The 14903-nt window shown below is 38.9% G+C and overlaps 1 protein-coding gene across 1 annotated transcript in view, besides 2 other annotated features; it reads left to right on the plus strand.

Annotated features, from left to right (window-relative positions):
• Positions 1009-1600: an enhancer, noted in NCBI's record as "H3K27ac hESC enhancer chr12:101673582-101674173 (GRCh37/hg19 assembly coordinates)". NCBI's record gives its function as "activates a minimal SCP1, AML or CMV promoter by ChIP-STARR-seq in primed H9 embryonic stem cells {active_cell/tissue: H9 hESC(primed)}" and the evidence as "EXISTENCE:reporter gene assay evidence [ECO:0000049][PMID:30033119]".
• Positions 1310-14903, plus strand: part of UTP20 (UTP20 small subunit processome component) — a 106514-nt gene continuing 92920 nt past the window's right edge. The window contains exons 1-11 of the mRNA NM_014503.3: positions 1310-1532; positions 2321-2401; positions 6775-6841; positions 6954-7086; positions 7526-7714; positions 10165-10246; positions 11342-11479; positions 11938-12093; positions 12947-13093; positions 13175-13309; positions 14373-14450. Of these exons, the coding sequence (NP_055318.2) occupies positions 1488-1532; positions 2321-2401; positions 6775-6841; positions 6954-7086; positions 7526-7714; positions 10165-10246; positions 11342-11479; positions 11938-12093; positions 12947-13093; positions 13175-13309; positions 14373-14450 (1251 nt within the window). The 5' untranslated portion in view covers positions 1310-1487. The remainder of the gene's footprint in view (positions 1533-2320; positions 2402-6774; positions 6842-6953; positions 7087-7525; positions 7715-10164; positions 10247-11341; positions 11480-11937; positions 12094-12946; positions 13094-13174; positions 13310-14372; positions 14451-14903) is intronic.
• Positions 1334-1383: an enhancer, noted in NCBI's record as "active region_6861". NCBI's record gives its function as "activates an Ori minimal core promoter by ATAC-STARR-seq in GM12878 lymphoblastoid cells {active_cell/tissue: GM12878}" and the evidence as "EXISTENCE:reporter gene assay evidence [ECO:0000049][PMID:35858748]".

A 14903-nucleotide genomic window follows, 5' to 3' on the forward strand; every position in this document is an offset into this window, starting at 1 on the left:
ATTTCCAGTCTGGGCATGGTGGCTCACCCCTGTAATCCCAGCACTTTGGGAGGCCAAGCCAAGAGGACTGCTTGAGTCCAGAAGTTTGATACCAGCCTGGGCAATATAGCAAGATCCCATCTCTACAAATAATAATAATAATAATAATAATAATAATAATAATAATAAAAGAGCTGGGTGTGGTGGTGCATGCCTGTAGCCCTAGCTACTTGGGAGGCTGAGGTGGGAGGCTCACTTTAGCCCAGGAATTGAAGGCTGTGAATATTTTCAAATAATTAATTAATACTATTATTGCCTTTCTCGTTTGGCTCCCAGAACAGTACCTGGTCCACAGAGGACTCTCAAGAAATAGTTGCTGAATGAATGAATGAATGTAAAATGGGGTAAATAATTATATTTTTAAATTATTTTTTAAAATTGTACATATATGTATATATAACTGTACAATTTAACAACATGCTATGTGTAGACATTAAAGTGATGGGAAAAACACCAAACATTAACAGCGGTTGTGCATGAAATTAAAAGATTTTTCTTAAAACTCCTTCTCTATTTTTCAATTTTATTTACAGCGTAGTGGTTAAGAATACCAAAATTTAGAGTCTGAGTGAAGACTGCCAGTTACCAGCTGCACAACCTTGGTTTCCTCTTGTGTCAAATTGGCTTAAAAATATACACAGTACCGGCCAGGCGCGGTGGCTCACACCTGTAATCCCAGCACTTTGGAAAACCGAGGCGGGCGGATTGCCTGAGCTCAGGAGTTCGCGACCAGCCTGGGCAACAAGGTGAAACCCCGTCTCTACTAAAATACAAAAGAATTAGCCGGGCGTGGCGGCGGGTGCCTGTAGTCCCAGCTACTTTGGACGCTGAGGCAGGAGAACTGCTTGAACCCGGGAGGCGGAGATTGTAGTGAGCCGAGATCGCGCCACTGCCCTCCAGCCTGGGAGACAGAGTGAGACTCCGTCTCAAAAAAAAAAAAAAAAAAGTATATATCTATATATAGATATATAGATAGACGCAGTACCTCCTTTGTATTAACATCCCTAATAAGCTTTACTGTGAAATTATGGATGAAAGGATCTTTGCACGATGCAGGTACGTAGTGAGGGACAGTAATGTTAGTTGATAACGATTACAGGTATGTTTTATTTTATAATGAAAATACATTTGTCTTCTAAACCTTTACCGAAGGGAGTGAAAAGAACACCTCACCCAAACGCCCGCCCTTATGTGCGCAGCCCCGCCTCCTGTAGGCCCCACCCCACCAAAGGGTGCGCCTGCGCCGTTCTTTTTTCCGTCCACGTGACCCACTCAGGCTCCTCCTTGTCTCCAACATGGCGGCGCCCAGGGGCTCAAGCCGCACGTGAGAAAGTCTGGGCATCTGGGAATCGGAGAGTATAGCCTGTGAGCCGCTTTCCCCTCCTTACTGTCGGTTGCATCCCTTCGACACTCCCGAGGCCGTCGCGGGCCACTGGCCCTCTGCAGCCATGAAGACAAAGCCCGTTTCCCACAAGACCGAGAACACCTACCGGGTGAGCGCGGGAGCTTAGGCAGGGAGCCGCGGGTCTCCGCTGCCTCAGTCGTGAGACAGGCTCTGAGCGAGACTCCAGGGGCCTCAGACTTCTGGGCCGAGTGTGTCACTTTCCTGGAGGCTCCGGCGAAAGAGGGAGACACTGGATGTAGTAAACATGGGTTGGAGGAGGAAAGAAGTGTGGACAGCAAGTTTCACCCATGTTTTATGGGGTCTGGCCAGTCCTGGGAATTTCCTGTAGTCCAGAATTAAATTCACTATTCCAGGAGATTGCTTAGGACCAATTCTCCCCTGCTCTTTTATCTTTAAAGACCGAATTGGGCGAGTCGGCTGGCGGTGAGTGATTCCCAGCTAAGGGCAAATATACAGCGCTTTCTCTGTTTGCCCCTTGATAGATTGTTTCCAGGTCTTCCTTAGGATACAATCATAGGTCTGTATATGTTTAAAAACACTTTTATTGCAGCGACTTTGCTAGGTCCCCATGCTTATGGGAGGGTATGAAACCTAATAGATCTAGCGAGACTAATTGCCAGCATCCACCTAGGCTCACCAGTCTGGCAATGGAAATTTTATTTGAAATGACATAGCTGAGAGAAATTATGCAAACATAGAAGTATTCATTATCTTTGAACAGTGATGCAGTAAATTTGTTTACGGCCGTATGTTTTTCAGTTTATTTTTCCACTTATCCTTTGTGATTAGAGATGCCTACATGCAGCATTCAAATAGATATTAAAGATCTGATAAATTTTAATTAATTATGTATCTTAAATATACTTTCCCTTCCAGTTTCTTACATTTGCTGAACGACTGGGGAATGTTAATATTGATATTATTCACCGGATTGATAGAACTGCAAGCTATGAGGAGGTAAGAGAATGTGATACTAGTCAATCTTCAAGTGTTCATGGTGTTTTAGTTTCTTCTGTTAGTAGAAGTGAATTGTTTTTCAAGGTATTCCTTTTTGGACATGAAATGCTTTAGACCTGTGCTGTTTCATACAGTAGCCACATATGACAAATTGGATTTAAAGTAAATTAAAAATTTGGGTGCCCAAATGTGGCTAGTTGCTAACATATTGAATAAATATAGAATTGGAACATTTTCATCTTTGCAGAAAGTTCTGTTGGGTGAAGCTCTATTAGACAATTGACTTGACTTTCAGCTGTCTTTGTGATTCTAGCCTCTCCCTTTCCCTTATGCATTCCAAGCACTGCTGCAGATCCATATTCCTGAAGCTATAACTTTAAAGTGATTTTGAGGAAGCCCTTTTCCCGGGGCTTAATTTTCTCCTTTATAAAAATAAAGGGGCTAGACTACATAATATTTTCCAGTTTTAACCATACTCTGACTCTGTCATCCCTTTATTTTACTTTTATTTATTTATTCATTTTTTTGAGATGGAGTCTCGCTCCGTCTCCAGGTTGGAGTGCAGTGGCGTGATCTTGGCTCACTGCAATCTCCACCTCCCAGGTTTAAGCGATTCTCCTGCCTCAGCCTCCCGAGTAGCTGGGATTACAGGTACGTGCCACCACACCCAGCTAATTTTTGCATTTTTAGTAGAGACGGGGTTTTGACATGTTGGCCAGGATGGTCTCAATCTCCTGACCTCGTGATCTGCTCGCCTTGGCCTCCGAAAGTGCTGGGATTACAGGTGTGAGCCACCACGCCCGGCCTTGTCATCCTTTTATGCAGAAGTCTTTTTCTGCATCATGTCGTTATTCCTCCTAGCATTTTAAGGTCGTACGTAACATGCCTATACCTTGGCGATCCAATCTCAGTTCGTAATATTCTTCTTTACTATAATCAGACTCCACTCGCTGGGTCTTTGAATGCATTATCTCCACTGTGTAAATTCAATGTGTTAAATGATGTCGTCTAGGTGAGCACATTGTGCTTTGAGAACTCATAGTAAAGGGAACCTAACCTACATTCTTTAGGGGTGTCAAAAAAACGGTGATCTAGACGAGGTGACACCTGAATTTTGTTTATATAGGTTTTAGCATGGTAAAGAGGACAGGAAAGCCTGTTCCAGGCTGAGGGAGAAGCCTATATAAAGGAACAGAAGCTAGAGAATGCATGTCACATTCAAGAAACTGCAAAGCAGTCCAGTGTGGTTATAGGTGTGTATAGGGTGTTTTTTTTTTGTATTCATGGTGACTGGGATGGGGCAAGGGGGCAACTGGTGAGATAAAGCTGGAGAAATAGGCAAGGATCATAAAGGACTTCATATGTGAAGCTAAGTTGGGGTTTTATCCTGAAGCTGTAGGGACTTAGAGTTCTAGGACTGTAAGCAGGGGAATGAATGACATGATCAGGTTTAAATTTTCAATCTCTCTGGCTTTAGTGTGGAGAAAAGAGCAGGACTGCAGTTCTTCATCATGTCATGATTCCTCTGCTAGCCTTTTAAGGTCCTGTGTAACATGCCTTTAACTTGGAGATCCAATCTCAGTTGTCCAGTTGTGAGGATTTGACTGTTATCTAAGTAAGAAATGATTATGGTAGCAGCAATCAAGATAGAGAGAAGAGAAAGATTCCAGAGATGTTGAGGAAGTAGAATGAATGGATAGGACTTGTGACCTACTGGGTTTGCAGCAAGGAAGATAATGAGGTTAAGGCTGAATGGTTGAGGATGTTACTCATCAAGATATATTTATAGGTAAAGGAGCACAAGGTTGTAAAGATAAGATAATTAGTTCCATTTGGGGCTTGAATTTGAAATACCTTTGGCCATCCAAATGATAGTGTCCAAAAGATGTTTGTATATATGGATCTGGAGTATAGGTGACTTCAGAGGTGAAATTACAGATTTGGCATTTAGAATATGATTAATAATTTAAGCCACAGGAGAGGTTGAAGGTATCAAGAGGCAGTGTTAAGAAGGCAGAGAAGACAGCCTGAAATTAGAATCCTGGACTGGATGGTCCAGAATGGCCTCTGTCACGTGTCTGGCAGTTGGCTGTGGCTTGTTGATCTTGGTTCTTTTCATGGCCTCTTATTCCCCAATAAGCTAGACTAGGCTTCTTTTCATGGTGGCAGAATCTTTTCAATAGAGTGAAGGCAGAAGCTGTCAAGACCTCATAAAGTTTTGCTTTGGTCATGAGAGTCACTTTCATCGCATGTTATTAGTCAAAGCAAGTCAGGAGGCCAGGCCAGATTCAAAGGGTGAGGAAACAGACTCCGTCTCTTGGTGAAAGGAGCTCCAGAGTTACCTTGCAAAAGGACGTGACATGGTCTCTCACACATAGCTGACATACGCCAGGTCTGTGCTAGGCTAGAAATGCGTTCTGCATTTAAGTTTTAAACTGTGTTGCATATTTTCTTTCTGCCTTAAAGGACATGAAAATGCCTTAAAGGACATGAAAACAACAACAAAAAAATTTTAATATTTTTACTTTTGAAAAATAGAGATAGGATCTCGTGTTGTTGCCTAGGCTAGTCTCAAACTCCTGGGCTCAAATGCTCTTCCTGCCTCAGCCTCCCACTGTTGGGATTACAGGCATGAGCCATTGTCCCCAGCCTAAAACAAAATTTAATGGGATTCTCTTTCTTTTCTGCCTTTTTTTTTAATTTTTAGTTTTTAATATTTGTGGTTACATAGTATCTATTCTGCCTAACTATTGATTTTAAAGATTTCCAAAGAACAGTTTAAGGATTTTTTTTTTTGATATTGTAGATTTGGCATGCTGTTTGCATGTGTGCTTATGTGTTTATTCTCTCTTTTTTCTCTCTCTCTATAAACACATATTTGTATTTATTTTTATTTTTATTTCAACTTTGATTTTAGATACAGGGGGTACCTGTGCAGGTTTGTTACATGGGAATATTGTGTGATGCTGAGGTTTGGAGTATGGATCCTGTCACCCAGGTAGTGAGCATAGTACCCCACAGGTAGTTTTTTTTAACCCATCCCCACTTCCTCCACCCTCTAGTAATCCACAGTGTTCATTGTTCTTATATTTATGTCTATGTGTACTCAATATTTAGCTCCCACTTATAAGTCAGAACATGCAGTTTTTGGTTTTCTGTTCCTATGTTAATTTGCTTAGTATTATGGACTCCAGCTGTATCCATGTTGCTGCAAAGGACACGATTTCATTCTTTTTTAAGGCATATAATATTCCATGGTGTATATGTACTATATTTTCTTTATCCAATCTACTGTTGATGGACACCTGGGACAATTCAATGTCTTTGCTATTGTGGATAGTGTAGAGATAAACATACGAAGGCATGTATCTTTTTGGTAGAATGATTGTTTTGGGGGGGTATGCATTTATTTATACATCTATATACACACATACGTACATGTATACATACATGTCATACATGTATGATAATTTATTGGCTTTACCTTTCAAAGTACAAAGTAATTGATACCATGTTAACAAGTTAAGTAACATAGTGGTAAACTTACGAAAAGCCCATTATCTCACTCCTCCCACCCCTAATTCCCAAGGAAGCCAACACTGACAGTTCAGTATAGTTGTATTCTTCCATACTGTCCTCTCATGTTCGTATGTACAAACATTTATAGAGGGTTTTTTATTTTTGTTTTTTAAGGAAAATTGAATCCTGCCATACCCTCTCACTGCATAACTTTTATCATTTTGGGGGCATATCTTCAGTGTAGTTCTAGTTCAATAGAGATATAGCTCTTTTTAGTAGCCACATAATATACCTTAGTATATATAGACCATGGGCTATTCCAACCATTTTCCTATTGTCGGATATTTTAGCCTGTTTAATGTTTCCCCACACTGTAGTTAAGCTGAATAAACATCTTTTACTTAAAGGCTTGCAAACTTTATAAGAACTACCTGGGTCAAAGAGCGTAACTATTTTGAATTTTAACAGGAATGCCATATTACTTCTTTATAAGGTTGTAGTAATTCATATTTCTAAAAGCAGAATGAAGGAACTGTAAAGAACCAACACCTTATTCTTTGCCTAAAATTATAAAAAAACACAGAAAATAATTTTCCCTTAGTGGACAATATATATAGGCCCCAGAAAATTATTTGCTGAAACCAAATCAACAAAACAGCATTTTATAAGTGGCCTATTGATAACTTCTGATTGCTTTTTAGTGTGTTACTTAATGGCCTGTTTTAAAAAACTAAAAGGAGTTCTTAAACTCTTCAGTATCATTGTCTTAAGATATTAATATATCATTATTCTATTTACCTTGATCATTGCTTTCTTAGAGTTATTTGATTAATGGACTGCTTTAATCTTGACAGGAGGTTGAAACCTACTTTTTTGAGGGTCTGCTGAAATGGAGAGAATTAAACCTCACAGAACACTTCGGTATTTTCTATTTCGTTTCTATTTTATTCACCCATAGTTTGCACTTTATATGTTCCATACAGCTGAATAGTGGTGTGATAGAAAAGAACATATTTTTTTTTCCCCCACTCAGGAAAATTTTACAAAGAAGTTATTGACAAATGCCAATCATTCAATCAGTTGGTGTATCACCAAAACGAGATAGTTCAGAGTTTGAAGACTCACCTGCAAGTTAAGAACAGTTTTGCCTATCAACCCCTTTTGGAGTAAGTAGCATCTTGAGAGAAAGCTCACAACTATATTTGCCTGAATTTTAAGAAAGATTGTGTTTCAAAGCTACATATACCGCAGATCAGGTGCTCATAATTTAGAAACAAGGAGGATTTTCCTTTTCTGTTAGGAATAAGTGCATTACCATAAAGTGGAATCTTGGGGTATAATTTCGCATTTGTTATATACTAAGATAATCTCATTTTTCTTTGACACTATAGGAACAGTTGGCTACAACTTATGATGGAATGTAACTTCTTGCCTGATTTCTTTGCTGAGATCTTAAGATTTAAAGAATTTTATAATTTTTCAGACTTGATTTAGAAGTATTTTTATTTAATTAATCCTATGATCATAGGCCACCTACTATCGTTAAGTAGATTTGTAGCCTTTTAAAAAAATCCACATGATCAGTTGCTTCTTTTTTTAATCCAGTTTGGTTGTACAGTTGGCACGAGATCTGCAGATGGATTTCTACCCACACTTTCCAGAGTTTTTTTTGACTATCACCTCGATCCTGGAGACTCAGGACACAGAGTTGTTAGAATGGGCTTTCACCTCGTTATCATATCTTTATAAGTACCTGTGGAGACTGATGGTGAAGGACATGTCCAGTATATACAGGTAACCCCTTTCTCTCTCTAGTATGTTTTTTAATTGCCTGCTTCTTTTTCCCTGGCTTCTTTATGACTCCAAACCACTTTGCCAGCTCAGTGCCTAATTGTTTCCATGTACAAAGTTGATTCTCCAGCCAAAGTGGTCCACAATCTAGTCTGCCAGTCTGAGTTGCCATGACCATCTCTCCTCTCCAGCTACTGGAAGTATACCCACCCAAGAAGGCCTGACTCGGTCCCTACAGCCTCCACAAACAGGCACCTTTGCCAGAAGTATTAATAAAATTTTGTACTCTCTATCCTCTTGGCATTTTTTAACCACCTATGTCACACAACTTTTACCAGAATTGTTTGGTTATAATGTATTGCTGTCCTCTCTACACCTGGTATAAGGGAGGTTTAAGACAGGTTAAGAGCCCTGTTTTAAACACTGACATTTCCCCAGCCACTAATACTTACTAAGGTGAAAGAGACACTCAGTATTTGTGAGTAAATGTGGACAAGGAAAGAGAATGAATTTTGTAGTAACCTTTTGTTTAAAGTAAGCATAAATTGTCTTATTATCTGTTTAAGTCTGGGGTTTGGTGGGATTTTCCACTTGGTCTTCCGGTTGTTTTCATGTTCTATAATTGCCACAGGAGTGTTTAATATCAGTCATCAGCCCCTTACCCCACAGTAAATGGTGTATGCATGGTATGGGACAATAGACTTTGTTTTATGCCACCCGTTTCACTCAGCCCACCGTTCTCTTTTAGGAACTTTGAATGAAGAAAGAGAAAGAAATCTTTTTCCAGCCTTTACTAGTTCCCTATGAAGCTTTTGGTCAAATATGTTAGAAACCAATATTATTTCATTAAACAACCAACAAGGTCTTTGGGGAATAATTGATTTAGTTTTATGACTTCAGCTGTCATAAAAGCTGCCACTTTTATGTCTCCTAAGTCAGGCTCTTCAGTTCTAAATTTATTTGCTTTCGGTGTGACAACTTCAGTAGCCTGGCTATTTTCACTTGTATTACTGAAACTGAACTCAACACTTTCCTGTTAAATCAACTCCTCTTATCTGTACATTCATTCAAGTGTTCAGTAAATAGGTATTGAGTGTCTGCCGTATGCCAGGCCCTGTTTGGTTGCCCATTTTCTGTCATTAATACTAACGTTCTTCCTGTCTCTGAGTTTTGGAATATCAGAGGCATCACTAACCCAGTTGTCTTCAGAGGTGTCCACATCCTCTTGATTCTGTCATTCATGCATTTGCTCAGTCAATATTTATTGGACACTGTCTGTATGTCAGGCACTTGAGATACAGTCACAGATAAAACAGATAAAAAATGCTCTTCTCACAAAGTTTACATTTTAGCAGGGGGAGAATGTCTTGGGCACATGCCCGGGAGAAGTTTTAGGTGGCCGAGCAGCCTGTATAAGGGTGAGACTAGCTAAGTGATGTCAGAGAAGCAGTAGTAAGGCGCCAGATCATCCAGGGCCCTGTGGACCGCTGTAAGGTCTTCAGCTTCATTGTGGGCACTCCTGAAATGTCTACTGGGTTCATCCCTTGCCATTTTGCCTCTCCTTCCAGTCTCTTTCATGCCTGTTAGCCCAAGCTTGTATGACTTGAGCACCTTTCTGACTGAATTAGCAGACTCTTCTTTCCTCCTTTATTTTATCCTGTATATTGCTGCCAAATTAGTCTTTCTGAAAATGGTCATTTCTCATTCAGCCAACATTTATTAGTACCTGCTGTCAGCAAGGAACTATTAGGTACTGGGGTTATGAGAAAATTGGAGAGATATATTCCATACCCTTCTATCATTAGGGAGACCAAATTTAACAATGTGATTATATATAAGTAATTATTTAGTTATAGATGCATGGCTGCTTGACCTTGAGCAAGTTGCTTATGCTTTCTGCCTCACTTTCATTATCTGTAGAATGGGAGGATTATAATAGTACCCATCCCATAGAGTTATTGTGCTGATTAAATGGCGTAACACAGAGTAAGTGCTTATACAGATGTAAGCTAGACCTGTCTACCTGACCAACTTTATCCATAGCTGCTCTCCTCTACTGTATCATCTTTCCTCTTTTAGATGGACCAGCCTCCTTGTCATGACCATGATCATTTCCACCTGCCTCATCTTTGCTCTTGCTTTTATACCAATAATATGGACTGCAGTCCCCACCTAATTCTTCTTTCATTCAGAGCTCATTACAAATTTCAACTTTTCCTGGAGTCTTGTTTGTAAAACCAGTACCACCAGTCCTAGGACTCTTCATGTCTGTGGTCAAGTCTTCCTTTCAACATGTGGGTGTCTCCATAAATGAATGAGATTTTAAATTTGTTTGATACCTGCTGTGTATTCCTTGCATACCCAGCACATTGTTGCCCATATTGTTGACATGTAGTATGTATTTATTACAATTATATGATTAATGAAATGTATCTTATTTTTTTCATGTATAGCATGTACAGCACACTCCTGGCTCATAAAAAACTACATATAAGAAATTTTGCTGCTGAAAGTTTTACTTTTTTGATGAGAAAGGTTAGTCTGGTATTTTATCTGTTTGTTGCTAATCATCAAGAATCTGATGAATAGGCCAGGCGTGGTGGCTCATGCCTGTAATCCCAACACCTTGGGAGGCCGAGGCAGGTGGATCACCTGAGGTCAGGAATTGGAGACCAGCCTGACCAACATGGCAAAACCCCGTCTCTACTAAAAATGCAAAAATTAGCTGGGCGTGGTGGCGCGCACCTGTATCCTCAGCTACTTGGGAGGCTGAGACATGAGAATTGCTTGAGCCCAGGAGGTGGAAGTTGCAGTGAGCTGAGATCACACCACTGCACTCCAGCCTAGGCGACAGAGCAAGACTCCATATCACACACACACACACATACACACACACACTAGTAATAATAATAATAATAATAATCTGATGAATAGAAGTAGATATCTTTTAAAAATGTGGTTATTATGGGCTAATTTTTTCTATGTATCTATATATATACTTAACAGAAATCTGTTACTATTTTGAATTTATCTCACAGTAAGACTTATTTGTTGCTCACAAATTGATGTGATCTAATTTGGGTCACTATTGTATTGTTATTTAGGTTTGTGATAGCTTTCAGTGTGTATATATCAAAAATGCTCTCTAATTCAAGTCAGTAAATACATGAACTGTGACATTAACAAGAACTTTTCTAATAGTTTCCTGGAAGTAACTGGTAGCATGGTGTCATTTGTGTTTGTATAAAATATTCATAGTAAATTTTAGAGGGTTTTTGTAATAAAACAAAAACATTAATATTAAATTTTTTATTTCATAAAATACAAATATTTTACTGTATACAATACAAAATACAAATGTATTTACTTTAAAAGATAGAATGTTGACTTCTGTAGTTTTTTTTGTAGTACATATCTTCCTGTAATACCAATGAATTCACTCTTTTGTGTGACATTCCAAGTGAGAACACACTATTAGAGTAGTTTGAAATCATTACAAATGTCTGTTCTTTTCACAATTTTTTCCTAAGTATATTTAAATAACAATATATAGAATAGCAAATGAGAGTTCTTCATTTGGATATGTTTATGTTTGTGAATATAATTTTCCATTTCTACTTTATATTTTAGGTCTCTGATAAAAACGCACTTTTCAATTTAATGTTTCTTGATCTTGATAAACATCCAGAAAAAGTTGAAGGTGTTGGACAGTTGCTCTTTGAAATGTGCAAAGGAGTTAGAAATATGTTTCACTCCTGTACAGGCCAGGTACATAATGGGGAGGGGTGCTTAGAGTCTATGTGGATGGATGAAACAGAAAGTAGAAAAGAATGAGGCAAATGATGTGGAGGGAAGACAGCCTAGAGTACATAGCACTAGATGAGGAGTGTTGGGTGTTCAGTAACAATGCTTACCCAATGTAGGCCTTGGACAGTGAGATGTTACTTACAGAGCCATTGATGTCTTCTTTATTTTGGATGCTAGGGGGTAAGATAAATTGATTAATGGGCAAGGGCAGGTGGGGAGGGAACAGTTGTAATGATAAAATTCCCATCCTAGTTTAGAAGTTCCTTTTGGGACACGTTATTAACCATCAAAGTTGCCATATCCTTGACTATTCCAGACCTGATTTTTAAGGTAGCTAATGTAATCAGAGTGGTGACTCCCAGAGCAATACTTGAAAATAAGAGTTTATATATTAATGTTAATGACTTGTATTCCCACAGGCAGTGAAGCTAATTTTGCGAAAGCTAGGACCAGTCACTGAAACAGAAACTCAACTACCATGGATGTTAATTGGAGAAACACTCAAAAACATGGTCAAATCCACTGTATCCTACATCTCCAAGGAACATTTTGGTACATTTTTTGAATGTTTGCAAGTGAGTTCTAATCTTTAAGGATGGGTTTTTGATAAGGAGTCTAAGAATTTACTGTTTCTGCTCTCAGTTTTGCAAATCACTCCTAGAAGTTATATTTTATAATTGTTTTATTTATACTTCTGTACACATATTAAAATTTTCCTTCCCTCTGCCCCCCTGTGCTATTTTTTATTTGATATGTTATCTTGAGATGCAGTAGAAGGCTCTGGAGCCAGACTGCCTGTTTGAATCTTGACCCTTCCACTTACTGCTAGTGTAACCTGGGAAAATTATTTGAAATCTCGATTCCCCAGTCTCTTCAGATAATAAATGGGGGTAGTAATATTCTCTCCCTCAGGGTTGCTGTGAGGATGATGAGTGAATACTTGTAAAAAACTTAGAATGGGCCGGGCACAGTGGCTCACACCTGTAATCCCAGCACTTTGGGAGGCCGAGGTGGGTGGATCACCTGAGGTTGGGAGTTCGAGACCAGCCTGAACAACATGGAGAAACGCTGTCTCTACTAAAAATACAAAATGGCGCATGCCTGCAATCCCAGCTACTTGGGAGGGTGAGGCAGGAGAATCGCTTGAACCTGGGAGGCAGAGGTTGCGGTGAGCAAAGATTGCGCCATTGCACTCCAGCCTGGGCAATAAGAGTGAAACTCCATCTCAAAAAAAAAAAAAAAAAAAAAAGACTTAGAACAATGCACTCAGCCAATGTTAGCTGTTATCGTTAGTGAGTCCTGGTAAATGTATCTTTTTCTTCCAAAGCAAGAGAATGGGAAAAGTTGAACTGTCCCACAGTTTTTATTGTTGGATTAACAGTTGAGTTTGATACTTTATATTCTCTCTGTTAAATTCTTTGTTTGCAGGAATCGCTCTTGGATCTACACACAAAAGTAACAAAAACTAACTGTTGTGAAAGTTCTGAACAGATTAAAAGGTTGTTGGAAACATACCTTATACTTGTAAAACATGGAAGTGGGACAAAGATACCCACGCCTGCTGATGTCTGTAAGGTGAGTTCCCAACTTAATATGCTCGAGAGTCTGGTTTTTAAAAGCTGATTGCTGAGTATGCATTGTTTTTTCTTTTTGCAGGTGTTATCTCAAACACTGCAAGTAGCCAGTCTCTCCACATCTTGCTGGGAGACCCTCTTGGATGTAATTTCTGCTTTGATCCTGGGTGAAAATGTTTCCTTGCCGGAGACCCTCATCAAAGAAACCATAGAAAAAGTAATTTACTTCAACAAATATTAATTGAGCAGTTAATAATATGTTTAGCATTGAGTAACCTTCTGAGGAATACAAGTGAAGTGTGACAAAGGCTCTGCCCTCAAGGAATTTATAATCTTGTTAAGGAAATGGGAATTGCATGCAGTAATGTAAATAAACAAAATAAAGTGTGATAAAAGCTTAATTTATATAGCAAATAAGCAAAATAAAGTGTGGCAAAAGCTAAATCTATACATATTCTGCAATATATGTAAGCACATATTGCAGTAAGCAGTAGAGCTTACTGTGTGCTGGGTATGAGCTGGCTATTCCAGGGTAAACAGTGATGCCTGCAGGTTTTGATAGTTGTTGGAGAAATGGAGCCTGGAACCGAGTAGTTATAGTCTAGCGAATTTGTCTGTTGGAGATATATTGAATTATAACTATTAATTCTGCCTGGGGTTGAGGAACAGAGAAAGCTTTTCAAAGGACTTGTATTTGGGATAGTCCTTGAAGGTTGAAAAGCAGTCTGCCAGTCAGAAGCGGGGTTAAAAATACTAAGAGAGGGAACAGAAAAGACGTGTGTTCATAAATGTTTGCAGTCTGAGCGCATGGACACATGATATGACATGATATCAGCAAAGCTCTGGCTTGGCTTTGAAAAGTTAGGTTGGGTTTTATCCTGCATTAGTGGAGGACCCTGAAAGAATTCCAAGCAGGGATATGATTTGATGAGATTTGCATTTTAGTGAATTTGGAAGTAGGATTGGAAATAGAAAGGTTGGTTAAGTTCTTTCTAGCTTAATGGAGCACAGTAGTACACTTTGAGGGAAGATATACAATCATGCTGTTTGCCCTTTCATAATTCACTGTAGCTGGGCAAGAGTTGAGCAGCCTTTAGGCAGAGCCCTGTGTAATCAGCAGAAGCCCTTTGCATCTGTGGAAGCACCTTTGGAGAAGGCCGGGCAACTGGACAGAGCACTGAGTGAAGTGTCCCTGCCATTCCCTTCTATAGCTGCTTGCTGGGGGGATGGGGAAAATACTCTCTGTGTACTTACATTAATATTTTTTACCTTGGTCACAGATATTTGAGAGCAGATTTGAAAAACGTTTAATTTTCAGTTTTTCTGAAGTCATGTTTGCCATGAAGCAGTTTGAGCAGGTAAGCAAGTTACTAAGTTCGGAGTATTTTTAAAAACAAATCTGTCAGGAAAAAACGATCAAATTTGAAATCCTGTTATTTCTGTTTGTTTTTTGAGAGGAACAGGATAAGTGCTTGATGTTTTAGTCAATATGTTTTTTAAAGAAATTATATTCAATTCTAGATTACTTGTTTTTTTAATAATCCTTTAGGTAGTTACAGAACCGTGTGGTAAAATTGAAAAAACAGTTTAAGAAACTTTTATGTGAATTTGAAGCATAGAAAATAGTTTGTGAAACAATTTGCACTGGTGGAAGTTTGCAAATTGATTTCATTGCTCCAAAATAAGGTAACTGAGTGAGGGAGAAAATGTTCTTATCTAATCCTGAATTTATTTTATTTTTTTCTCTTCCTTCTCATCAAACACTTGGCCCTCCTCCTAACTAGTAACCCTACAGTATACATCATGGAAAC

This window comes from Homo sapiens, chromosome 12 (genome assembly GCF_000001405.40).
Source record: "Homo sapiens chromosome 12, GRCh38.p14 Primary Assembly".
Lineage (NCBI taxonomy): Eukaryota > Metazoa > Chordata > Mammalia > Primates > Hominidae > Homo > Homo sapiens.